The 27,898-nt window shown below is 41.2% G+C and overlaps 1 pseudogene, besides 1 other annotated feature; it reads left to right on the top strand.

The window, feature by feature from the left end:
- Positions 4,263-5,462: an enhancer, noted in NCBI's record as "P300/CBP strongly-dependent group 1 enhancer chr1:68849743-68850942 (GRCh37/hg19 assembly coordinates)". NCBI's record gives its function as "activates an origin of replication core promoter dependent on BRD2, BRD4, P300/CBP, MED14 and CDK7 cofactors, with strong dependence on P300/CBP, by STARR-seq in HCT116 cells {active_cell/tissue: HCT116}" and the evidence as "EXISTENCE:reporter gene assay evidence [ECO:0000049][PMID:35650434]".
- ELOCP18 (elongin C pseudogene 18) lies at positions 13,860-14,200 on the top strand (annotated as a pseudogene).

Here is a 27,898-nt window from a genome sequence, read left to right as displayed (position 1 = left end):
ATGTTTGAGATCTAGAACAGAATAATGGGTTGTAGAGGCAGGTATTGAGGATAGGAGAGTATATGGTTTTGGCACCACAGGGTGGATAGGCAAAACAATTTGGTTGATAAGGTGAAGATCCTGAACTAACTTGTAAGGCTTGTCTGGTTTTAGGACAGGTAAAATGGGGGAATTGTAAGGAGATTTTATAGGCCTTAAAAGGCCATGCTGTAGCAGGTGAGTGATAACAGGATTTAATCTTTTTAAAGCGTGCTGCGGGATGGGATATTGGCGTTGAGTGGGGTAAGGGTGATTAGGTTTTAATGAGATGGTAAGGGGTGCATGATCGGTCGCCAAGGAGGGAGTAGAGGTATCTTATACTTGTGGGTTAAGGTGGGGGATACAAGAGGAGGACGCAAAGGAGGCTTTGGATTGGGAAGAAGGGCGGCAATGAGATACAGCTGTAGTGCAGGAATAGTCAGGGAAGCAGATAATTTAGTTAAAGTGTCTCAGCCTAATAAGGGAACTGGGCAGGTGGGGATAACTAAAAGGAGTGCTTAAAAGAGTATTGTCTAAGTTGGCACGAGGGTTGGGGAGTTTTAAGAGGTTTAGAAGCCTGGCCGTCAATACCCACAACAGTTATGGAGGCAAGGGAAACAGGCCCTTGAAAAGAAGGTAATGTGGAGTGGGTAGCCTCCATATTGATTAAGAAGGGGACGGGCTTACCTTCCACTCTGAGAGTTACCGGAAGCTCGGCATCCGTGATGGTCCAGGGGGCTTCCGAGGCGATCGGGTAGTGTCAGTCTTCAGCCGCTAAGCCAAGAAGATCTGGGAAGGAGTCAGTCAGAGAGCCTTGGGCCAGAGGTCCAGGGGCTCTGGGAGTGGCTGCCAGGTGAGATGAACAGTCCGATTTTCAGTGGGGTCCCACACAGATGGGACGCGGCTTAGGAGGAATCCTGGGCTGCGGGCATTCCTTGGCCCAGTGGCCAGATTTCCGGCACATGTAGCAAGCTCCTGGGGGAGGAGGTTCTGGAGGAAAGCCTGGCTGCTGTGGTTCAGGCATTTGGAAGTTCTTGTGTGCTGGAGATGTGGCTGGGGTTTGTCTCAGAGTGGAGGCAAGGAATTGCAACTTTTTTCTGTTATTGTACACCTTGAAGATGAGGTTAATTAAGTCCTGTTGTGGGGATTGAGGGCCAGATTCCAATTTTCGGAGTTTTATTTAATGTCGGGAGCAGATTGGGTAATAAAATGTATATTGAGAATAAGACGGCCTTTAGACCTTTTAGGGTCTAGGGCTGTAAAGCATCTCAGGGTTGCTGCCAAACGAGCCATGAACTGGGCTGGATTTTTATATTTGATGAAAAAGAGCCTAAATGCTTCTGATTTGGGATAAAGAAAAAGGAGCATTAACCTTGACTATGCCTTTGGCTCCAGCCACCTTTTTAAGAGTAAGTTGCTGGGCAGGTCGGGGAGGGCTAGTCACGGAACGAAACTGTAAGCCGGACCAGGTGTGAGGAGGGGAGGTGATAAAAAGATTATAGGGTGGAGAAGCAGAGGCTGAGGAAGAATTGGGACCTAGCTCGGCCCGGAGAGGAGCAGCCTTGGGAGGAAGGGAGAGGTCAGATGGGTCTGTAGAAATGGAAGATTAGAAAGACTAAGCGACGCTTGGGGTTGGTACTGAGGGGACAGGTGGGAGGGAAAGAAGGAAGATTTGGGACGAGTTGCACTGGGCACAGAGACTAGGAAGGGACTGATGTGTAAAAGAATGCCTGGACGTCAGGCACCTCAGACCATTTGCCTATTTTACGACAAGAATTATTTAGATCTTGCAGGATGGAAAAATTCAAAGTGCCATTTTCTGGCTATTTGGAACTACTGTCGAGTTTGTATTGGGGTCAAGCGGCATTGCAGAAGAAAATAAGCATTTAGGTTTTAGGTCAGGTGTGAGTTGAAGAGGTTTTAAGTTTTTGAGAACACAGGCTAAGGGAGAAGAAGGAGAAATGGAGGGTGGAAGGTTGCCCATAGTGAAGGAGGCAAACCCAGAGAAAAGAGAGCGTAGAGACATGGAGGGAAGGGGTTCAGGGGTTCTTACCCTCCTGAAAAGCGGGAAGGGGGTTTGGGGCACGGAAATAAGGGATAGGGGCACAGAGATAAGAGGTTGGGGTGTGGAAATAAGGTATTGGGGGTTCTTGCCCCCTAGAAAAGCAGGACTTGTCACTAAGGGTGAAGGAGAAGGGGTTGAGGGGTACTTGCTCCTCCCCCAGAAAAGCGGGACTTGCCGCTAAAGGTGAAGGAGAAGGGGTTGAGGGGTACTTGACCCTGCCCCAGGAAAGCGGGACTTGCCACTAAGGGTGAAGGAGAAGGGTTTGAGGGGTACTTGCCCCTCTCCCAGAAAAGCAGAGAAGGGGTAGAGACAAGGAGAGAAGGGGTTGGGGTACTTGCCCCTTCCCCAGAAAAGCAGAGAAGGGGTAGAGACAAGGAGAGAAGGGGTTGGAGTACTTGCCCCTTCCCCAGAAAAGCAGAGAAGGGGTAGAGACAAGGAGAGAAGGGGTTGGGGTACTTGCCCCTTCCCCAGAAAAGCAGAGAAGGGGTAGAGACAAGGAGAAAAGGGGTTGGGGTACTTGCCCCTTCCCCAGAAAAGTGGGACTTGCCGCTAAGGGTGAAGGACCAAGGCAGGCGTCCCTGCGTGGTCTGATACCTTTGAAACGTGGGTGAATAATCAGAGAGACATCCCTGCAATGATTAAACACCAAAGGAAGGCTGCTTTCCCAGTCCGTGACCGGCGCCGGAGTTTTGGGTCCACGGATAAAACATGTCTCCTTTGTCTCTACCGGAAAATGAAAGGAATTGAAATTAAGAGAAGGGAGAGATTGAAGTGTGGTGCCAAGATTGAAAGGAGAAAGAAGTTGAGGGATAGTGAGGGAGGTTGGAGAAGAGAGTAAAAAGAGGCCGCTTACCAGATTTGAAATTGGTGAGATGTTTCTTGGGCTGGTTGGTCTGAGGACCTGAGGTCGTAGGTGGATCTTTCTCATAGAGCAAAGAGCAGGAGGATGGGGGATTGATCTCCCAAGGGAGGTCCCCTGATCCGAGTCACGGCACCAAATTTCATGCGCCTCTGTGTGAAGAGACCACCAAACAGGCTTTGTGTGAGCAATAAAGCTGTTTATTTCACCTGGGTGCAGGTGGGCTGAGTCCGAAAAGAGAGTCAGCGAAGGGAGATAAGGGTGGGGCCGTCTTATATAGGATTTGGGAAGGTAATGGAAAATTACAGTCAAAGGGGGTTGTTCTCTGGTGGGCAGGGGCGGGGGTCACAAGGTGCTCAGTGGGGGAGCTTCTGAGCCAGGAGAAGGAAATTCACAGGGTTAATCACTCAGTTAAGGTGGGGCAGGAACAAATCACAATGGTGGAATGTCATCAGTTAAGGCGGGGCAGGGCCTTTTCACTTCTTTTGTGATTCTTCAGTTACTTCAGGCCATCTGGGCGTATACATGCAAGTCACAGGGGATGCGATGGTTTGACTTGGGCTCAGAGGCCTGACAGTACTTAGATCAGTTCCTATCACAAAATGGGTTCACTGTAAATGTTAGCTAGAAGCATTACAAACTGAGGACAGGGTCACAACTATATCAGATGGGATTGTAATTGATTGTTTACCAGGTCTATAGTGAATTTTTTTAAACAAATACTAGGAAAATTCATAGCAATAGTGCCTACCTAGTTCTGGTTGCTCAGCATAGTAGATGCAAAAATACTTAATCTGGTTAAATTATATGATCTTACTTTGTCAGGTAGATTGTTTGGGTATGGATTTGTAATTCCACACAGTGCTATTACCAGTATACAAGAATCTTTGGTTTATTTTAGTGTAAGTTATCTTAACTTTAAACTAGTTTTTTAATTAGTATTCCCTCTTGGTATTGTTACCAGAAAGGGGTCCTGATCCAGACCCCAAGACAGGGTTCTTGGATCTTGCACAAGAAAGAATTTGGGGTGAGCTCATAGAGGAAAGTGAAAGCAAGTTTTAAGAAAGTAAAGCAATAAAGAATGGCTACCCTATAGGCAGAGCAGCAGCTTGGGCTGCTGGACTAAGGAGATACTTATAGTTATTTCTTGATTATATGCTAAACAAGAGGTTGATTATTCATGAGTTTTCCAGGAAAGGGGTGGGCCATTCCCAGAACTGAGGGATTCTCCCATTTTGAAGCCATACAGGGTAACTTCTTGACATTGTCATGGCATTTGTAAACTGCTGTCACTGCACTGGTGGGAGTAACTGTTAACATGCTAATGCATTATAATTGGCATATAATGAGCAGTGAGGAGAGCAGAGGTCACTTTCATCACCATCTTGGTTTTGGTGGGTTTTGGCAGGCTTCTTGACCACATAATGTTTTATCAGCAAGGTCTTTGTGTCCTATATCTTGTGCCAACCTCCTATCTCATCCTGTGACTAAGAGTGACTTAACTTCCTGGGAATGCAGCCCAGTAGGTCTCAGTCTTATTTTACCCAGCGCCTATGCAAGATGGAGTTGCTCTGGTTTAAACGCCTCTGACAGTATCATATAAAATACATTCAAACCCTGTTACTGTGGTAAGAAAAAAGTTACTCCTTGATAACAAGTACATACTAAGAAAAATACAGTTATCCCTACATATTAGATAATTGTGAATCTGCACCAATGGTTTACTAAATGTACACCCACCTTTGACCTAAAAGTATCATTGACTTTTCATTTATCGGCAGTGAATCATTACAGCACAAGAGCATCTTGTGGACTGTAGATGGGAATAAAATGAACTAAAGGAAATGACCTAGTAAAAAAATGTAGTGAATGCCTCTGTGTAATTGCTAAAATACCACCACAGGAGGGCCCAGTGTCTTTCCTTGAGTGCAGTGTGTTTCTGGAAGACCTTTAAGCCTGGAGACTCCCAAGGACAAGCACATAAAGGAGATGAATCACTTTCCAGTTCTCATCAGTGAATCATGGTTGAGATCACCACTACTTAATTTGAGCTTTTCAAACATATGAGTCACCACACAAGTTCCTGCATTCTAAATTAGAATGAGAACAGATTTCGTGATGTTGGATCAAGTAGCTCTTAAGGGCAGTTTGCCTGGGCTGGAAGAATGGGTACATTAGATGTATTCCAAACAGCCAGCTTGGGCATGAATACACTGCCCCATCAGCTTTCTGGGAACTGGCACAATAAAATCACTTCCTGAAGTTAGAAGGTAGAGAGAACTCCAACAAGGGTATAAATAGTGCACAGAGTAGTTCTGCTAAAACGACAGGATCCAGAGACACTCTCAGTCTTGGAAATCCTACCAACAAGGATTCAGGTACTTCCTTCTTTTATTAAAGACATTAGTGTTTTCCATTGCCTCCTGTAGTCTAAGTTGTGCTGTCATCCTGAGAGTGTTCCAAAGCCACACGGATACCCTACCTGATTCTCCAGACTCCTTTGGCTTCCTTAGTGTTAATGACCTTCTTCTCCTATCTCCCATTTCACATCACACATACTCCACGTCCATCCCAGTTTGCTATACTTCTATCATTACTTGGAATTATTCTATCTCCTAAATATTAAATTCAAACACTCCATTCACTAACTGCAACCTTTCTTCCAACATTCTCATTCAGTTACTCCCAGTCTATTATTTCTTCAGCCTCTTCAGGACTTCCAGATCCTCTCCTCTTTCTCCCAATATCAGCCCTTCTTTTCTGTAATTATTTTGCAATAATAGTTGTTACCATAAGGGCACTAACAAGTAAGTCATAGCAATTAACAACAATAGCAACTAACATTTATTGAGTTGTTCGTTTATGCCAGGCATTGAATTAAGCACTTATATCATTTAATTAATGCCTTACATCATTTAATTCCCAGGACTACTCTATGAACTAGGTTTTGAGGACCGTAGCCCAGCCTTCATGTTAAGCTTTGCTACATCTTGAACAATTTTACACTCCTCATCATTCTAATATAACTACTCATATGAAATGCTTAGTCATTATTCTAAAACCTAGACCAATGTGGTAAGGGTGGCACCACTGGCATAGTAAGAAATTGTACCTGAAATCTACACTAGTTAGACCAAGGAAATGGAGCTTAACTAAAGGCAGTTTTTGCAGCCTTATAAAGTAATTATACGAGCGGTTGGGAGTGACATAATTTGAGGTATTAAGAGACTTGGTAAGCTCCTGCTTATGGCCTCCTGCAACCTGCAACCTGAAAGGACCTCAACCTGGACAGGCAAAATGCCATCTCCACCAGCTGGGGCAGTGTTCTGTAAAGAACAGGAGAAAGTCAAGAAGCCACACTCACCTCATCTCCCTTGGATGAGGTATATGAGCATCCAATGCTAAGAATGCATCCTTTGCTCTTATAATATCCTTTGCTCTTATAAGCTTATACCAACTCATAAACAACATAAATTTATTTCTCATAGTCCTGAATTACAAAAAAAAATCACCCAACCCCCAGTGCTAACCTTAGTGTCCAGTGGCACTTATAAGGTGCTAAATGATTACTTGTTGAACTGTTTGTTTTATTGAGATTTCAACCCTTTGACAGTATATACTAATGAGGTATCCTTCTCACAGATTCTCCCAGAAGGATAAAGCAATAAGAAGCTTGAACCTAGAGCTATCCCTCTTTATTAAGGGCTTTTTAAAAATTGGAATTCTATCTGTACTATAAATTTCATTTTATTACTGACTCACAAGATTGTTCTATAAACCTCTGGCTAGACCGATTTTATATGATTTTGTAAAAATGTCATCTCTTCTATTTAAAGAATATAAATGCATAGAATTATACACATAGTGTTACATAGACACACACACTAGTTTTCTATTGTTGCATAACAAATTACCCCAAACTTACAACAGTAAATAATACAGATTATTAGCTATAGTTTCCATGGGTCAGGTATCCAGCATATTGTAGCTGGGCCCTCTGTTCAGGATCTCAAAGGTTGAATAAAATCAAGATGTCAGCTGAGCTATGTTCTCATCAGGAGACTCTGGGGAGGAATATTCTCCTGAGCTCATTCAGGTTGTTGGCAGAATTCAGTTCTTGTGGTTGTAGGACTAAAGTCTCCATTCTCTGCTAGCAACTGTTGCCCAGGAATCAATCTCAGCTCCTAGAGGTCACTCAAATTCATCAGTTTGTAGGTTCCTCCTTCTTCAAGCCATCAGTGACACATTGAATTTCTCTCAGGCTTTGAATCTCTGACTTTTGCTTCCCCAGTAAGCCAGAGAAAACTCTCTTGTTTTAAGGGCTCTATGTAATTAGGATAGGCCCACGTGGTTGACATCTTATTTTAAGGTCAACTGATTAGTCACCTTAATAGCATCTGTAAAATCACTTTTTCATGTAACATAACATAATAAGGGGGTGACAATAGAGGGCAGAGATTAAGGGGCTATTTAGAATACTGTCTTCCCCAAATTCCCATTAGAGTATCAACTCAAAATCAAAAATTCTCATCTAAATCTCAATGGCTCATATGCCCCCAATCCCATCACGTAAATCATGTAGAAATCAGGAGAGGATGGGGCTCTAGGGTAACCCATAATAACAGTCCCCAGGCACAATTCCTCTCTATCTGTGGACCTGTAAAACTAAAGAGACATGTTATGATCTTCCAGTACTCCAAACATACAATAGTGGGGCAAACATAGGATAATAGTTATACACATTGCAATTCGAAAAAGGCATAATATTTATATTTCACTGATGTCATGGCACTTTTAGGAAGAAATTGGTATTCCGCTGGGCACTGATACTGAAGATGTGCTCTGGGTCACCCCTACCTATTTCCTACCCACTCACCACTTCTCCCCACATGCCTGCCTTTTCCTTCTTTTCTCTGGCAGGATGAGGCGGGCAGGTCTGGGTATAGGAGTACCCAGGAGTTCCCAACTATGGGAACTATGGCTATGCTAACAGTGAGTATAGTGCCTGTGAGGAAGAAAATGAGACTCACTGAAAGTCTGAGAAGCAAAGTCACTGCTACAAAATCTCTTTCCATTGAAGTGGACCATGAAGCTAAAAATCAAAATAAATTATTAGCTGAAATGGACTCATGATTTGATTCTAAAGTGAGGTGATGCAAGTAACTGTGAGTTTGGAATTTGTTCCAATTAATGGCTTGAAGTACCATTTTGATAAAAATCAGCATCAAAACATTCTTAATTTTCAAATACTATGACCTTTTCCATTGAAGATTGCTGAACTTTGCTTATTTTATAAATTGCATTAGATAATACAGTGCTCGTTGTTTTAGTTTTATTTTACTTGTTTATTTTTGAGACAGGGTGTCACTCTGTCACCCCAGCTGGAGTGCAGTGGTGCTATCATGGCTCACTGCAGCCTTGACCTCCTGGACTTAGGTTATCCTCCCACCTCAGCTCTCTAAGTAGCTGAGACTACAGGCGCGTGCACGCCACCAAGCCCAGTAATTCTTTTTTTTTTTTTTGAGATGGAGTTTTGCTCTTTTGCCCAGGCTGGAGTGCAGTGGCACGATCTTGGCTCACTGCAACCTCTGCCTTCCAGTTTCAAGTGATTCTTCTGCCTCAGCCTCCCAAGTAGCTGAGATTACAGGCATGCACCACCACACCCAGCTAATTTTTTTTGTATTTTTAGTGGAGACAAGGTTTCACCATGTTGGCCAGGCTGGTCACGAACTCCTGACATCAAGTGATCCGCCTGCCTCGGCCTCCCAAAGTACTGGGATTACAGGCATAAGCCACTGTACTCAGCCCAAGCCCAGTAATTCTTTATATTTTTTGTAGAGGCAGGGTGATGTGGTTAGGCTTTGTGTCCCCACTCAAATCTCATCTTGAATTGTAATCCCCAGGTGTTGAGGGAGAGGCCTGGTGGGAGGTGAGTGGATCATGGGAGTGGATTCCCCCATGCTGTTCTTGTGATAGTGAGTTCTCACAAGATATGATGGTTTTATAAGGGGCTCTTTCCCCTTTACACACACTTCTGTCTCCTGCTACCTTGTGAAGAAGGTGCCTCTTTCCCCTTCTGCTTTGATTGTAAGTTTCCTGAGGCCTCTCCAGCCATGCAGAACTGTGAGTCAATTAAACCTCCTTTGTTTATAAATTACCCAGTCTCAGGGAGTGTCTTTATAGAAGTGTGAGAACAGACCAATACACAGGGTTTTACCATGTTGCCCAACCTGGTCTTGAACTCCTGCACTCAAGCAATCCACCCAGCTTGGCCTGCCAAAGTGCTGGGATTACAGGTGTGAGCCACTGTGCCCAGCTTGCAGTGATCTTTGAATACTGTTTCTTAATTATTCATTTTAGTTCCTGTTTTCAAGGTTGTTGAGAAGGTGTGGTGCCACCAATTTTTCTTCTATTATTTGCTGTCAGATTAAGTAGCATTATAATATTCTGTTGTTTTCATAAATGCCTGAAGAGCCTGATTCTAAGCTCTTGAGATAGTGAGCCAGTTTGTGATAGAATGGCAACTGACTTTTCTTCAACTGTCATAAACTGTGATTATGTACTCCCCTTTCCTCCTTTATTTAGTTAAAATTGTAGGCTGATTTCTTATCTAAATCTTCCTAATAATTTTTTATGATGAAGACCCTTTTCCCTCTTTGCCTGAAGACCTCATTCTTTAAAGCTTGTTATTTTTGACATATTTCGAATAGGCCCCAATGCACATGTGTGTCAGTATAGTTGTTTCATATAAACATTATAAATTCCATTGACATGGCTTATAATAGTTTTATGATTTTGGCTAGTTAGGTAGACCATTTGATTATCACTGGTGACAGAGAAATGTGAAGTTAAGTAATTACTAAACTCCGAATGGAAATAAAGTGGTCAAGAAACTCAGGCATTGAACTTAAAGGTAAGATTACTGTTGCTGTAATCCAATGCATTTGTTGATGGAAAGCAAAACATAAAGGTGACTGTTGAGTAAAAAGAAATATTAAAATATTGTTAGTCTGCATTGATACTATGTTGAAATTTACCCATTTATAAGCTCTAGAAATACATTTTTTAATAAAATATATTAATCAATAAAAAAGGGAGAGAGATGGAAGGCAAAAAGGAGACACAAATCCAAAGCAACTTTGAAATACACCCACAGAAACTCCAGCTGGGGTTCTTTAATTAGGTTTATTATTCCAGGCCTTGGAATAACCTGCTATGGTTTTCAAATCTGCACCCTGGGTTCTTGGTTCAGCCTTCTGGGTTCTTGATTCTGCCCTCTGAGTCATCCTTCCATTATCAAGAAAGGAAAATGTTTTCAGCCAAGTGGTTTTATTAGCTTGCTTCCTGACAATAAAATTGGCATATGGGAGAGCCCCAATAGTTTTCTTTCATTTTGTACTTCCTCAGTTCTTTCAGTCCACTCTAGTAGCATTTCTGTTGATGTAATGTTCTCAAAAACATTATAATCCTTACTAGTTTCCTAGGGCTCCTGTAACAAGTTACACAAACTAGATGGCCTGTGAAAAGTAAAATTTATTCTCTCATAGTTTTGGAAGCTACAAAACTTAAATCAAGGTATCAGCAGAGCCATGCTCTCTCTGATGGCTCTAGAGGAGAGTCCTTCCTTGTCTCTTCTAGCTTTTAGTAACTGCAAACAATTCTTGACTTGTAGGTGCATCACTCTAATCTCTGCCTGTCTTCACATGTTGTTTTCCTCTCTGCATGCTGCATGTATGCGTCCAAATTTCCCTCTTCTTATAAGGACACCACTAATTAGATTAAGGCCCACTCTAATCCAGTATGATCTCACCTTAACATGATTACATGTGCAAAAACCCTATTTTTAAACAAGTTCACATTCATAGGTCCAAGGAAGATATGAATTACAGGAAGAAACTATTCAACTCACTGAATGGTCCTTGCCTAAATTTTTCAGAGTTTCACTCCATTAGACAAAAGCCATGAGCACAAACATTTTTGAGATGATCCCTGCTCTGTCTTTGGTTTCTGCTGAGATGACTGAGGGACAACACTCCTAAGCTTCTGAGAGGCCCTCTAGTTTCACTGATGGGATCGGTGAGTCACAACCTTAATATCTTAGAAGAGCCTTTTCTATGACTGAACACTTTAACCTTTTAGTCTTCCTGAGGCTTCAGTGAAAGCTGGACAGTTGCACAGTCTTTCTTTTCTCTATGCCATACTTTTGGAAGCCATTTCTGACTCTTAGCATTTCTTGCCACCTGGAAAGGTTGAGCAGTCTCAAAATTCTCCAGTCCTAATCCCTTTATGTTTACCAGTTTTTCCCTCCAGTTATTTTTTTTTCCTCACATTTTAGTATAAGTAGTAAGACAGAAATAAGCCAGCACCTTTAACACTTTGCTTGCAAATCTCCTCAGCTATATATCTAAGTTTGTCATTTACAAATTCTGCTTTCCACATAACTGCAGGACACAATTTTTCTAAACTTTCTATCACCACATAGCAAGGATTCTCCTTCCTCCAGTTCCAATAACATGATTCTCACTTCGTTCTGAGTCTTCCCCAACAGTATTCTAAAAGCCCAGATTTCTAATTAAAGTCTGTTCATGATGATTTAGGCTTTCTCCAAGGAAATTTAGGTTTGCTCTATAATGCTCTTCACCTCCTTCTAAGCTCTCACCAGTTGTATCTTTAATATCCATATTTCTACTAACAGTCTGTTTGAGACAATTTAGCCTTTCTCTATCATGTTCCTCAAAATTCTTCTAGCCTCCAGCTACTGCCTAATCCCAAAACCATTTCCACCTTTTAGGTATTAATTACAGCAGTATCAACTTTCAGTATCAAAATCTGCATTAGTCTCTATTGCTGTGTAACTGTCATAAGCTTAGCAGCTGTAAACAATACATATTTATTATCTTACATTTTTCATGGGTCAGGAGTTTGGCACATGTTAACTGGGTCCTCTGCTTAGGGTCAGTCACAAAGGCTGAAATCCAGATGTTGGCCAAGCTGGAGGTACTGTATAGGATTTGCTTCCAAGTTCAGTCAGGCTGTTGGGCAGAATACAGTTCTTTTTGTTTGTAGGACTGAGATTTCCATTTGCTTGCTGACTATTGGCTAGGGGTCACTCTCCTCTCCTAGAGGTCACTCACATTTCTTAACTTACGGCTCCTCCCATCTTCCAGCAAGCAATGGCATTTTGAGTGCTTCTCATGATTTGAATCTCTGACTTCTTCTGCTTCTCCAACTAGCCAAAGAAACCTCTCTGCTTTTAAAGAATTCATGTGATTAGATTAGGCTTACCCAGATAATCTCCTTATCGTAGGGTCAACTGATCAGTAACTTGATTACCTCTGTAAAATTCTTTTTGCCAAGTAACAACATAATCACAGGAATAACTAGAGGGTAGAGATCATGGAGGGCTAGCTTAGAATTATGATTATCACACATTCTTACACCAAAAATACCCTAGGAATATACTAATAGTGGCAACTATGCGTTTTCATTTCTTTCTGCATTTTTATGTTGTATAATTTTTAAAATCATATAACTGCAATGAGGAAAAATGCAGAACTATATTATTATGAGTATAGTTCAAATCATAGTGGCTTTACAGAATCTTGGAGCTATCTGCTTGCCCATTTGCAGTGACTACAACTGCATGAAGTACTGATTACAAAAGATAGAATCATTCATTTTTAGAAAGCTAGTTTTGTTACACTGCAAGCTTTTTCTACAAGCACACACATTTCTAATAAAATAAATTTATTGTTAATGATGAGGTTTGAAAATAGGTGATATAAAGGTATGCCTAGCTTCTTACTCTATCTGCTTCTACAGCAAAAGAAGTCAAAATGCTGAGGGCCAATGAGCTGCATAACTAACTAGCTGCTTCCAGCTGAAACAGCAGATCAGGATTGTATAATGCTATTGAATTTCAACTTTTTCACTCAGGCACCAAATGTTTACTGAGCTCCCACTATACACAGAGCACTTGGGTACAGAGATACAGATGGCACCACCCTGAACCCAAGTGAAGAGCTCAAAATTTCTCATTTTGCCCAGCAGACAAGTTTCTTATTTAAGTGAGTCAAAATTATACTTTAAATATTAACTGTCAGATTTCAGAGGGCATTTCAGATATCCTAAAAATATTTTGATAATTAAACAAGAAGAAAACCTGTATTCCAAACAATGTTTATTCCCTGCGTCCTAAAAAAACCTATGTTTAAAAAAAAAGAATGAGGCAAATTGAAATTTTCCTTTCAACATGACCCTTGATCAGACATTCTTTTGGCTATTTTGACAAGAAAGAATCAGTCAAAGCCTGGTCACATTCCTTTAAGGTCACAGCTCTTTGTCATCATCATCTCTTCTTTTGGCAATGTACAGTAGTTACTTCCAAATGCCAATTACTTTGAAAAGATCTTGGCTTAACCTTAGTCTAACCCAGCCAACCCTCCAAGTCAGCCCAGCAGCAATGCTGGCAGACCTTGGAAAAATGGAACACTGGGCTGTTCATGGGCTGTTTCCATGGAGAACATCACATTTCATAGGGGAAATACGAGTAGTCACTTGGAAGGCCCACCTCTTCAAGAGTGAAACATTATACCACAGCCTGGTATTTCAACCTATCTTCAAACTTCTTGGCTTAGTGAATTCCTAAACTTTATATTCAGTTGCTGTTTTCCACCTGCTTACAATTCTTGATCCTGCACAGCAACTCTTCTGATCAGAATTGGAGCAAGTGGAGAAGAACTACAAAAGGGACCCAAAGAGGGGCAATGGCCCTGGAACAGGGGCTATGGGGGTGCGTGGGGACCAGGCTGCAGTGGCTGCAGGGCTGATGAGTGAGACTCTGACTGAGGCAGAAGCAGAGCTCCAGGAAACTACTAAAGTTCCAGGGGAAGCAAAGTAGCATTTTATAAGAACAAAATGAATGGAGAGGAGAAAACCTATGGTGGCTGTGAAGGCCCTGAGATGCCATGTATGTCAAATTGATACCATCTGATGGCCATGAATTTATTGTAAAAAGAGAACATGCATTAATATCAGGCATGATAAAAGCCATGTTGAACAGCCCTGGTCAATTTGCCGAGAATGAAACCAATGAGGTCAATTTTAGAGAGATACCTTCGTATGTGCTATCAAAAGTATGCATGTATTTTACTTACAAGGTTCGCTACACTAACAGCTCCACTGAGATTCCCGAATTCCCAATCACACCTGAAATTGCACTAGAACTGCTGGTGGCTGTGAACTTCCTAGATTGTTAAATAAAATAAATTACATTTTGAAAAAAAGGGGCCCGAAGGAAGTCTGTGGGAGCTGAGGAGAGGGAAAGGAAAAGAGCCCAGTCTGACAGGTGGTGTTTCTTTTTGCACTCACCCTTTCTATTCCCCTTCCCCTTTAACCTCTTTCCCCGTTTAACCATCTTTCACTATCTTCCTTCCCTTCCAAGAGATCTTCCCTATGTAGCACCATCAGTTCCCAAAGGCTGCCCAATTATCTCCAGCTTTTTATCCTCTACCTCCGCTAGCCCTACAGATAGTAAACACAGTCATGCTGAGCCTCCGTGCACATCCCTTGGTTAAAAGCTTTCCATTAATTTACTGATCACTATTCATTCATTTATTCAAAAGACATTTACCAAGTGCCTCCTAGGTGTCAGGCCCAGGGCTAGCTGCTGAGGATAAGGAGGGGAACTAGACCGGGTCTCTACCCTCAAGAGATGGAGGAAGCACTCATACACACAAGGGTCTATAATAGTATTACATTACATTTTTATGCAATAAAATGGAGGAAGAGTGGATTCATCTTGATGGTACTAAGGGAGGCCAATTTTTAACTCTGTCCCCTTAAAAAAATTTGATATGCTAAAACAAATAAACTATCAAACACTAACCTGTTCAATCCAATCAGGTATAAGACAGCAAGAATTCCACAAAGATATCCAAGAGATAGGTTGAATTTAAGGCAGGACTGTTTGCCAGGGAAGAATCACAAGTGGAACAAGTATGCTTCGAGAAAAAAGTCTGTGTGCCAGGAGAAATGGGAGCCAAGGTTGTGAAAGAGGTGCACTGCAGGAAGACTCGCGACATACTGGTTATCTTGGTAAATTCTTTGTTCAAAGAGAAGGCAGTATGAAATGAATTTAAGTTCAAAAATATGGAAGGCAAGGTATGCACCAATGCATTTTTTCATTGCTTATCTTGACTAAAAATAACACAGTGTGCTCTCTTTGCAAGTCAATACATAGAACATGGAGACAGAGTTGGAGAGACCATCCGCTTCCCCAACATCCTTGTAAAACATTTGAAAAAACTTGACATTCCCCTGCATTGTTAGGCTGCTCTTTGTAACGGAGTTATAAAAACCCTTTCCATGGAAAGATCTCCCATTCAAACATTTTTTACTGCTAGCAAGCAGAGACACATACTGCCCTACCAACCTAATTCCAAGCTTGAAGGCCATGAGCTTGAGAGACCATTTTTAAAGTTGCATGTTAGAACCTGTAATAGAAATGATAAAAAGAGGGGGAAGCTAGAAATAGCACAGATGCCATAACTGTATAGAAATGTATTCTAATCAAGTCGTCTTAACCCCTGGTGAGGTAGACTCTACAATTGGCAAAGTCTCGTGGGCCCTTCCAATATGCCAATCACAGACCTGTAGGTGTAACCTTCCATATTCCCTGAATTCCAGGGGTCTCCTTTTCCAGAAAGAGAAATTTAAACTCAGGCACAAAAGAGAGGTTGGATAAATCTTTGTTGAATAAGTGACAATTTATAATTTTTATTAGAATAGTAATACAGTAGTAATATCGAGAATGATGTGCCAGATGTTTATTCAATACCAATTCTTCCTTATCTACATTTTATAAATGAAGGGATTTAGGTCATATTATAGCAAAGCTTGGATTAATTTAAGCCAAGTTGGCCCAATTCCCCCCACAATATTGAGTCACCTGATGTTTGTAGTCTAGTGTCAGAGGCCAATGAGGAATTTTATTCGGGAATTTTGTTCGGTGCTTCTGCTATTAAATAAGAAGTGAAAACTAAGGGCGTGAGGTTGAAGCTGGCGGCGCTGCTGGAGCAGGCCAGGGATGTCCAGGAGAAACCGGCAGGGAGGAGGGACTGGGAATGGTGGGTGGGAGGAGTAGTGGTTGGGGGTGAGCCTGGCGGGTGGCACGGAGCCAAAGTCAGGAGAAGGCTGGAGACCGAGGCTCCAAGACCCCCAGCTTCCCGCAGGCGGTGCGGGCGGGGGTTGCGCTGCAAGGATGCTAGCAGTAGGCGCGAGCGTGTGGCTGCTGCTGGTGCCATCGCTCCCCTCTGCTCAGGGCCTTGGGCTGGGGCGGCAGCAAGGTAAGATGAGGATTGAATGAATCATATAAAAATGCAGGGGTTTTGGAGAGTAAAAAGTCAAATATCCCACAATTTCTTTTTTTTTTTTTTTTTTTTTTCTTGAGACGGAGTCTCACTCTGTCGCCCAGACTGGAATGCAGTGGCGCAATCTCAGCTCACTGCAACCTCCGCCTCCCGAGTTTAAGCGATTCTTCTGCCTCAGCCGCCCAAGTAGCTGGGACTACAGGAGCGCGCCACCACGCCTGGCTAGTTTTTGTATTTTTAGTAGAGACAGGGTTTCACCATATTGGCCAGGCTGGTCTCGAACTCCTGACCTCGTGATCTGCCCGCCTTGGCCTTCCAAAGTGCTGGGATTACAGGCATGAGCCACCGCATCTGGCCATATCCGCCATTTCTATGGTTCACGGTAATATAGGTGAAAACTGCTAGCACAGAAGCCTGCCTGAAAGCCTGTTTAACCATAGGCTATGCTGCATTATACTAATGCGAGGGTATAGAATGCAAGCACATTCGGCCTGAGGTCAAAGGAAGTCACAGAAGGCCAAGCCCAAGATCAACCAGTAGGGGGAAGAACATTCTTCCCATGAAGTTAAAGAAAGGGAGTAAGTATTTTTGAACAATAATATAACTTGCAACATTTCCAATTAGAAGACATCTGAGACTGCACTTCCAACCTGGGCTACACTGATTTAGCCTCAATAAACTATAGCATTTCGTCCTCATCAATGTTGGCTAAATCTTTGAAATCAATAAAACAATAATTAAATAAAGAACTATTGTATGTATAAATTTGTTTCTTGCAAGGAACAATTCTGTCTTTGAGAAGCAAATAATCCAAATGAGAAGTAAGGAAATAAACTTATTTCACTTATTTAGATTGAATACACTCAAGTTTTATCTGGAATTTGATGTCTTTTCTATGAAATATTTATATTAGTCCATTTAGTCATGGAGATGTGTATTTTTTTTAATCATTAACCAGGATATTTGTTTGCCAGCTGTAGTTTGTTTAAGGGTTTTGTTTTGTTTTAGACAAGGGTCTTGCTATGTTGTCCAGGCTGGAGTGCAGTGGCTGGCTAGTCACAGGCTTCTTCGTCTTGATTACTCCCAGTTTTGGTGATTATAAATAAAATAATTGTAAATATTTATGTGTGGTGTTTTGTATGAACAGCAGTTTTCAAATCAGTTCGGTAAATACCCAGGTGCACTACTGCTGGATTCTATGGTATCCTTAGTTTTGCAAGAAACTGCCAAAGTGTTTGTACCATTTGGCATTCCCACTAGCAATGAATGAGAATTTCTGTTGCATTCTCACCAGCAATTGGTATTGTCAGCTTTTCAGATTTTGGCCATCCTAATATATATTTTTTCCATGATTTTACTTTCGTCTTATTTGTTGAAATCTTATTTGTATTGATTTCTGCTATTTTGCTATTTGTGTCTATATATATCATGCATTTTTTGTTTCTATGTTTCTCTTTCACTGCCTTTGTTGTACTATGTAAATATTTTCTACTGCACCATTTATATTCATTTGTTGGACACTGTTATGGACTGAATGTTTGTCTCCCCCCAAAATTCATATATTGAAACCCTAGCCCTGGATGTGATAGCATGTGGAGGTGGGACCTTTGAAAGGTAATTAGGTTTAGATTAGATCATGAGGGTGGAACCCCCATGATGGGATTAGTGTTCTTATAAAAAGAGGAAGAGAGACCAGAGCTTTCTCACTGGCATGTAAGGACCCTGTCCATAAGTTGCTGTCTATCGACCAGGAGGAGGGCCCTTGCCAGAAACCAAGTCAGCCAACACGTTAATCTTATAATTCCCAGCCTCCAGAACTGTGAGAAATAAATATCTATTGTTTAGACCACCTAGTCTATGGTATTTTATTATGGTCACCTGAGCAGACTGATACAGATGCCTTTTACTATATATATTTTAGTTCTTTTCAGCCATTATTTCTTAAATATATTTTCTTCACTTTTTTTTCTTTTCTCTACTTCTGGGACACTGACACTGGGTCACTTGATGATGTTCCTCAATCTCTGAGACTCTTCTTTTTTCTTCATTGTTTTTTCTGTAATTCCTTATAATTCTTGATCCATCATTGATTTCACTCATTTGTTTTATTCTGCCAGCTGAACTCTGCTATTGAAACCCTGTAATGAATTTCTTATTTTAATTACTGTACTTTTCAACTTCAGAATTTCTATTCCATTTTAAAAATAATCTTCATCTCTTGATTTGTATTCCCTACTTGATTATTTATTATTGTTATGCTTTCCTTTAGTTCTTAAATATTGTTTTCTTTATTTATTTAAACATATCTATACTAGTTATTTTGAAGTCTTTGCTCCACCATATCTAACATCTGTCCCATCAGAAACAGTTTCCATTGTTTTTCTTTCTGTGTGTGGTCACACTTTCCTGGTTTTTTGCATGTCATTTCTTTAACTGGACATTTTAGATAATATATTGTAGTAACTCTGGATTCATCTCCTCTCCAGGGTTAGTTGCTGTTGCTACTTTTTTGATTTGCTGAATGACTTGCCTGGATAAATTCTGTAGAATCTATCTCACAACAGTGTGCAGCTCCTGTTGTTTCTGTTCAGGTTCCTTTTTAAAATTTATTTTTGTTTAATTTTTAAATCTGGCTTCCCATGAGTCACTCCTGGATTAGCATAGCTTAATGATCAGCCAAAAATTGATCAGAGGTTGCACATAAACGTATTGAGCCAGTAAGCCTTCTGCTCTTTGCCAACAGATCTGTGTGTTTAAGGAATGTAATCAAGGCTGGGCATGGTGGCTCACACCCTGTAATCCCAGCACTTTAGGAGGCCAAAGCAAGAGGATCACTTGAGACTAGCAGTTTAAGACCACCCTGGGCAACATAGTGAGACCCTATCTCTTTTATTTATTTATTTATTTATTTATTTATTTATTTATTTATTTTTCTATATTTGAGAATGGGGTCTTGCTGTCACCCAGGCAGGTCTCAAACTCCTGGGCTCAAGCTATCCTCCCACCTCTGCTTCCCTAAATGCTGGGATTACAGGCTTGAGCCACCACTGCCAGCAGTGATTCCTTGTCTCTACAAAAAATAAAATTGAAAATTAGCCAGGCATGGTGATGTGTACTTGTAGTTACAGCTACTCAGGAGGCAGAGGTGGGAGGATAGCCTGAGCCCAGGAGGTAGTGGGGACCCTGAGCCGTGTTGGTGCCACTGCACTCCAGCCTGTGTAACAGGGCAAGACCCTAGCTCAAAAATAACAAAATAAAAAAGGAATGTAATCAAAGTTCAGACAACTTGCAAGTCTGCCCTGGTTTATACTTTCTGCATACTCAAGTCTTCACATTCATAAAGGACAGGTAGACAGCCAGGCCCTATCTGATCCATCCTATGTGTACACATGTCCTTGAGCATGCATACAGCCTTCCAAGCTGCCACGGAGAAGTGAACACTTGTGAAGGCCACTGTCACTATCTCCATCTCTGGATTTCCCTTTTAATTTTCTGGCTGGTCTGTCAGTTTCTTGGTTTCCTGAGCAACATCGTAACCTCAGGTTAGCTGCAATGTTGCCCTTCTTAAATTGTTTGGTATTATTCCAGGATTTTTCCACCATCATTTTTGCCAAAGGCCCTGAGTCAAATCTACGCTCCACTCCAAAGTCAATCTGCCTCCTGTAGTAAGGAGGCCACCTGTCCTCATAGCTTGTTCTGCCCTGGTAAAATTACTGAACAGCAGAACTGGGGTGGGGAATGGCAGGAACCCCAGGACAGAGTGCCACAGATTCCCACCATTCTTACTGACGCTCAGTTTTTCTTCAATACATGCTTCTCAATGAGATGGATGCCTTTCATCAATTTCCAAAATCCCAAAGTGGTTGTTTCTGACAGTTTTTTCTGGTTTTATATTTGCCTTTGGGGGACAGGATTTTCCCATCTTCTCACTCACTCTAGAAGTCCCACCTAAAGTCAAAATTTTTGCTTTGGGCCAGAGTTCATTGTAACTTTTCATTATGATGTATGAAAAAGGAAAAGATATGTAAGACATATGGACAAAATTATGAATTGGGAGGCATTCCAAAGTTTTAGTAAAAAGATTCAATATCAAAAAGATAGAACCTTAGATCCAAGGCAATTACAATTCAAATATCAGTGGAATTTTTGATACAACTTGCTTAAACAGGGTGGATATTGGCACAGGGATAATGGTACAGGTTAGAAAGCCCATAGACAGATTGTAGCACGTGAAATTCTAGGAATGACCCCCAATGACCCTGGCTCTTCTGTAATACCTTCCTATTTGAGTGGGGATGGAACATGAAAAGATCCTTTCCATGACTGTTACATTTTATGGAAAAATAAAGATTATCTGGGTAATCTTAATTACCTGAGCCCTTCAAGTGCAGATCATTTTTTTTTTCTGGCTGGCAGAAGAAGCAGAAGTTGGACATTCGAAGTATGAGGGCATTTCACTTGCCCTTGCTGGCTTTGGAGATGCAAGAGTCCATATGCCAAGAAATGTGTGTGGCTTTGAGCTGCGTAGAGTGGCTCCAGCTCACAGCAGACAAGGAAACAGAGACCTCAGTTCTATAGCTTCAAGGAAGTGGATTCTGTCAACAACCTGAAGGAGCTCGAAAGCAGATTATTCCCTAGAGCCCCCAGATAAGAGCCCAGCCAGGCCAACACCTTTATTTTGGCCTTGTTAAACACTCAGAATCCAGGTAAGCCTGCCTGGACTTCTTGTCTATAGGACTGTGAGGTAACAAGTAGCTATTGTTCTAAACTCCTAAATTTGTGATACTGTTTTATTCAGTAATTAAGAAGACTAACACAGAGACCTATACTTATGTATACTAGATATTTGATATATGACACAGTTGGCTTTGCAAACCATTTGTGAAAGGAAGGACTATCCAATGAGTAATTCTGGGACAGATAGTTATATATATAGAATGAAAAGCTCAGATTTTGTCTTAGTCTGTTTTCTGTTGCTTATAACAGAATTCCTGAAAGTGGGTAATTCCCAAAGAAAAGGAATTTATTTCTTAGGATTATGGAGGCTGAGAAGCCCAATGACAAGGACCTGTATCTTGTGAGGGTTTTTTTGCTGGTGGTAATTCTCTGCAGAGTCCAGAGGTGATACAGGGAAGGGCATCACATGGCAAGAGGGTCTGAGCGTGTTAGATCAGGTCTCTCCTCTTCTTTTAAAGCCACCAGTTCTACCCTCACGATAACTTATTAATCCATTAACCCATTAATCCATTAATTAATCCATGAACGGATTAAACCAGAACCCACCTGACCCAATCACTTCTTTTTTAGTTTTTTGTTTGTTTTTGTACTTGTTTTTATTTATTTTGTTTTTTGAGACAGGGTCTCACTCTTTCATCCACAGCACTCAGGCTGGAGTGCTGTGGCACAATCACTGCAGCTTCAACCTCCCAAGCTCAAGTGATCGTCCCACCTCAGCCTCCAAGTTGCTGGGACTACGAAGGTGCGACCACCGTGCCTGGCTAATTTTTAATTTTTTGTAGAGATGGAGTTTCACCATGTTGCCAAGGCTGGTCTCAAACTCCTGGGCTCAAGCGATCTGCCTGGTTCCTCCTGCTAAAGTGCTGGGATTACAGGTATGAGCCACCACGCCGGCCCCCAATCACCTCTTAAAGGCACCATCTCTTAATACTGCCATGCTGGGGATTAAGTTTCAACATGACTTTCAGATCTCTACCTCAAAACATGACAATGAACTAGAAACTTTAAATGCTTGCAAGAAATTTTAGAAGAACTTCATGAGCTTAAAGTAAGGAAGAATTTTTCTTTCTTTCTTTCTTTCTTTTCTTTTTTCTTTTTCTTTTTTTCAGAGTCTCACTCTGTGGCCCTGGCTGAATGCAGTGGCACGATCTTGGTTCACTTCAACCTCCACCTCCTGGGTTCAAGCAATTCTCCTGCCTCAGCCTCCTGAGTAGCTGGGACTGCAGGTGTGAGCCACTACACCCGGCTAATTTTTGTATTTTTAGTAGAGATGGGGTTTCGCCATGTTGGGCAGGCTGGTCTTGAACTCCTGACCTCAAGTGATCTGCTGTCTTTAGACTCCTGAAGTGCTGGGATTACAGGTGTAAGCCACCTTGCTCGGCCCAAGGAAGAATTTCTTAATTAAAGATGTATACAATACGCTAAAGGATTAAAAATTTACACACTACACAAAAATTAAATTCTACTTATCAATGGTCAACATTTTAAAAAGAAATAGAACGGGAGGAAAACACAAGAATGCTGAGAAGCAGTAGTCTATGGCATCACAAGCGTCACAAGAGCAGCATGTTTGAAGAAAGAGGAGGTTGCCATCTGTGTTCAACGTGGCTGAGAGGTGGAGTAAGAAGACAGCAAAGTGTGCAGTGGATGTGGAGATGCAAGGCACACAGGCAAGCATAACAAGAGCAGCTTCAACAGAGTAGGAGGAAACCCAGGGCAGTGCCTGGACAGCTGCTCCTCTTTCTCCTCACCCTTCCAGAAAGTGCCACGCCTCCCACTGCCCTGGATGCCCCATCACTTGCATATTCATACCTACCCTAAAATACTTGAATGTAGCGGTAGGTTTCTTTTTGCTTGTATTCTGTAACGGAAAAAGTGGAATTATTACCTGTTTTTTTATTTAGCTGATTGCACAAGCTTTTGACAATTCTATCATTTTTCTGACATCTCTCCCTCTCTGAGAAGATGAGAAAGAGAAACCATAATAAAATTGCGTCAATCCCTATCGTTGAAACAGGTCTTTATTGTTTCTCATTAACCTGAGCTTTCTGGAGGGTCCAAGGATGAAAGCTTGAGGTGCAGCCAACCAGTGCTAAAATCCTAAACCTCACACTCTGTGTGTATGTGACACACTCATGCACACACACACACACACAAATGTGAAAGGCTCTCTTTCCCTTCCTCCTTTCCTTGTCTCTTGCAAGGTTGAACAGATTGGTCATTTTAACCCCATTATGACTTCAATAAAGAGAAGTCAGCCTAAAGAGGGGCAGGGAATGGGCACAGAAACCAGGTCCTGTGCTCCCCTAGGGAGCGGCTGTGTCTCAACTCATGAGATCTTGAAAATATTTCCCCCTTCCTAAAAATTATTCTCTTCCAGCAAAAATAGCTTCTAAACTATGGAAGCTCTGATGTGCACAAGGATTTCAAAATGTCCCTAATGAAGATTATAATTAAAATATTTAAATGGGTTTTTAATTTTCTTTCTGGGCTGTGTTATTTCCTAGTCCTCTTCAGGAGCTCCTATTGTTCAGTCATGACAGAATCCTCTGTCAGAAATTATAGCCTGCTGCCTTTCAGCATCTTCATTAAAATGCAGTGCTGCCAGATATATCTGCATGCATATGAATGAAGCATCTATAGAATAATTAAGTCATGAATAACACATTGCTGAGCATGGCTTTTCCTGAATAAAAAAAGAATGCTATTTATGAACCCAGAAATTTTATATTATATTAAAAAATAATTGGCAATAACAAGTATCATTTGAGGATTCATTAATTTAAATTATGATTTCCCTGCTATAAACTCCATTTTTAATAAAATGGCAATTTACATTGGAAAATGAATGTGAACCTATATGCAATTTTTCTTCATTTTGCTTAAAAGGCCACCCGAAAGCTTTTGGCAATGGGGGTTGCATAATTTGAAAATCTTTTAGGTCTATTATAAACAAAAGGCCATTAGCATCACAGCAAGTTAACAGGCCTGAGTTCAAACAAATAGTGACATATCAATGGAAAAACATAGACAGTATTTGTGATATTATAAAATATTTATTTTTGGCTGTGTCCATGGTTTCTAGCTCACAGCTCCTATAGCCTTTATAATTTCCTAAGTAACTAGAATGATAAGGATATTTTTTGTTAAACTATTTGGCCTTTTGTCTTCAGTTCCCAGAAACAGCTTCAGAGTAGCTCCAGAGTGATGAAGGTGAAACCAGCATTTCTGTTATTTATAACAAGCCCCTTTCAACCACACCTGAGACTATGTTAATGAGGTGATTTTTGGAAAATCCCTAGATAACTACAGGATGAAGGGTTGGTTGCCAAGGGGACTTACTGTGTGCTTAGAGGGTTGAGACTCACAGCCCCACACCCCATCTCACATCCAGAGAAGGAGAGAGGCTGAAGTTTAAGTTGATCACCAGTGGCCAACAATTTAATCAATCATGTCTACATAATGAAGCCTCCATAAAGTACCAGAAGAGCTGAGTTCAGGGAGCTTCCAAATTGGTGAACAAGAATACATTAACCTGCTGGAAGGGTGGCACCCTCCACCTCCACAGGGACAGAGGCTCCTGGGCTTGGGACATTTCCAAACCTTCTTTCTTTGGCTGTTCATTTGTATCCTTTCATGTATCCTTTATAATAAATGCATAAACAAAACTAAAGGGCTTCCCTGAGTTCTGTGAGCAGCTTTAGCAAATTAATCAAACCCAAAGGTAGAGAGGTTGTAGAAATCCCAATTTATAGCTGGCCAGTCAGAAATTCCAAAGGCCTGAATGGGCAACTCGCATCTGAAGTAGGGGGCAGTCATGGGACTGACTACTCGATGTGTGGGATCTGATTCTACTTTCAGGTAGGTCATTTCCAAATTGAATTGAGAGGACACCCCACTGGTGTCCACTGCAGAACTGATTTCTTGATTAGTGTGTGGGTCAAAACTCCTACACATTGGTCAATGAAGTGTTCTGTGTTGTAAGAAAATAATAGGAGAAAAAAAAAATGGTGGGTTTTTTTTTCTTCTTAATATTCTAAAGCAGTTTTAAGACTTTTTCAAGGAATATTGTGGAAACAAACACTGAACTTCTCTGAGCCCACCCTTCCCCTGCATGCAGTGTGTCAAGAAGCCATTCTTTTGCTAAAGGCCCAGCTTAGCAATGATCACATCCTAAAGTTGAGCAGCACTGTAATTTCAACATGGTTTCAGGTTTAGCTCCCTACCCTGTCTTCCTGAGACCTTTAGTCATGATGAACTGTTAAAGTCACAGAGGCAGAGAAAGGAGTAGGTGAGAAGGAAGAGTGAGAGATTAGAGAAGAAAGGGACACAAGGCTTAAGGTAAAAAGAAAAAGATAAGACTGTCTCTTCCTTCTTGGCCTTACTCAGATCCCTTGTTTTATTCTTTCTTGCTCATAGTTGTATGTGATTCATTTCATGTTTGGGCTTTTTTTTTCATTTTCAGTAGACTGCACATGCTATAATATCTCCCTGAGCAAGGGGCTGAGCCAAATGTCAATGGAGCAAACAATATGGCAGGCAAGGGAACCTGCTTCAAATCTTATAAACCCATTTCTCTCCTCCTATTTTCTCTTTTCCCTTTCAGGGGCCTCAGTTTCAGCTCTCTTCTTTCTTTACCTGGATTACAGCAGCATCCCCACCGGGGTCCCTGCCTGTAGTCTCCCATGTCCCTTCTCAATGCCCCATCCTGCCTTTCTATCCTCTACCACCCCCACCCATAGGCACACTCCCTAAACCATATCTGACTATGTCATTTCTCTAATAAAAATCCATGGTGGCTCCTCATTCCACTTAGGATAAATTCTAAGCCACTCAACATGGTTCAAATAGCCATGCAGGATCTAAGATGAGACTGACTCTCCAGCTTCCTCTGACATGTCCCACATGACCTCCTGTTTCCAGTCCATTACTCATTCCAAACAATTATTCATGGTTTCTTGAGTTCATTATGTTCCATGTTCACACATGCTATCTCCCTAATGGACATCTACTCCTCCTTAAACATGCAACTCAAAGGCCTGCATGTCCTGCAAGCATTCCCTGACCATCCCCACCCAGGCTGGTTTTGATGTCCCCCTCTGTGAAAACAGTTTCTTACACTAAACTACAATTATGCATTTGCTTATGTGTTTTTCCCATTACTTTGTGTTTATCACCTGTCCCAGTGCATAGCAATAAAAGTTCCTTGAATGGAAGGATAAACTATACAGATATACCTGTATAGTTTTATTGTGCTTCCCTTTATTGTCCTTTGCAGCAATTAAACTTTTTACAAATTGAAGGTTTGTGGCAACCCTGCACCAAGCAAGTTTATTGGTGCCATTTTTTCCAATAGCATGTGCTTACCTTGTATCTCTGTGTCACATTTTGGTAATTTTCACAATCTTTCAAACTTTCTTATTATTGTATCCATTATGGTGACCTGAGATCAGTAATCTTTGATGTTATTATTGTAATTGTTTTGGGGCACCACAAATCACACCCATTTAAGACAGCAAACTTAATCAACGTTGTGTATATTCTGACTACCCCACTAACTGGTGGTTCTCTGACTCTCTTCCTTTCTCTAGGCCTCCCTGTTTCCTGAAACACAACAATATTAAAGTTAGGCCAATTAATAACCCTACAATGGTCTCTAAGTGTCAAGCGAAAGGGAAAGTCACACATCTCTTAGTTTAACTCAAAACTAAAAATGATTAAACTTAGTGAGGGAGGCACGTAGAAAGCTGAGACAGGCCAAAAGCTAGACCTCTTCTGACAAACAGCCAATTGGGAAAGCAAAGGAAAAGCTCTTGAAGAAAAATTAAAAGTAAAATTAGAAGTGCTACTCAGTGAAATCACAAGTGATAAGAAAGCAAAGTAGTCTTATTGCTGATAATGAAGAAAGTTTGAGTGATCTGGATAGAAGATCAAACCAGACACAACATTCCTTTAAGCCAAGCCTAATCCAGAGCAAGATCCTAGCTTTCTTCAATTTTATGAAGGCTGAGAGAGGTTAGGAAGCTGCGCAAGATGCACAACTAGCAGAGGTTGCTTCGTGACGTTTAAGGAAAGAAGCCATCTCTATAACATAAAAGTGCAAGGTGAAGCAGCAAGTGCTGATGTAGAAGCTGTAGCAAGTTATCCAGAAGATCTGGCTAAGATCATTGATGAAGGTAGCTACACTCAACAACAGATTTTCAATATAGATAAAACAGCCTCCTATTGGAAGAAGATGCTACTTAGGACTTTCATAGCTAGAAAGAAGTCAAAGCCTGTCTTCGGAGCTTTGAAGGACAGCCTGGCTGACTCTCTTGTTAGGGACTAATGCAGCTGGGGATTTTAAGTTGAAGCCAATGGTCATTGACCATTCAAAAAACTCTAAGGCCCTTAAGAATTATGCTCAGCCTATTCTGCCTGTGCTCTACAAATGGAACAACAAAGCCTGGACGATTGCATATCTGTTTACAGCATGGTTTACTGAATATTTTAAGTCTACTGGTGAAACCTATTGCTCCTGAAAAAAAAGATTCCTTTCAAAATATTAGTGCTCATTGGCAATGTACCTAATCACCTAAGAGCTCTAAGGCAGATGTACAAAGAGATGAATGTTGTTTTCATGCCTGCTAACACAACATCTATTGTGCAACGAGGAGATCAAGGAGTAATTTTGAGTTTCAAGTCTTATTATTTCAGAAACACATTTCTTAAGGCTAGAGCCATCATTGACAGTGATTCATTTGATGGGTCTAGGCAAAGTAAATCAAAAGCCTCTGGAAAGAGTTCAGTATTCTAGATGCCATTAAGAACACTCATGATTCAAGGGAGGTTAAAATAGCAAGATTAACA

The sequence above is a fragment of the Homo sapiens genome, chromosome 1 (assembly GCF_000001405.40).
Source record: "Homo sapiens chromosome 1, GRCh38.p14 Primary Assembly".
Lineage (NCBI taxonomy): Eukaryota > Metazoa > Chordata > Mammalia > Primates > Hominidae > Homo > Homo sapiens.
The sequence above is the reverse complement of the archived record's forward strand: the minus strand, read 5'-3'. Positions and strand labels throughout refer to the sequence as shown.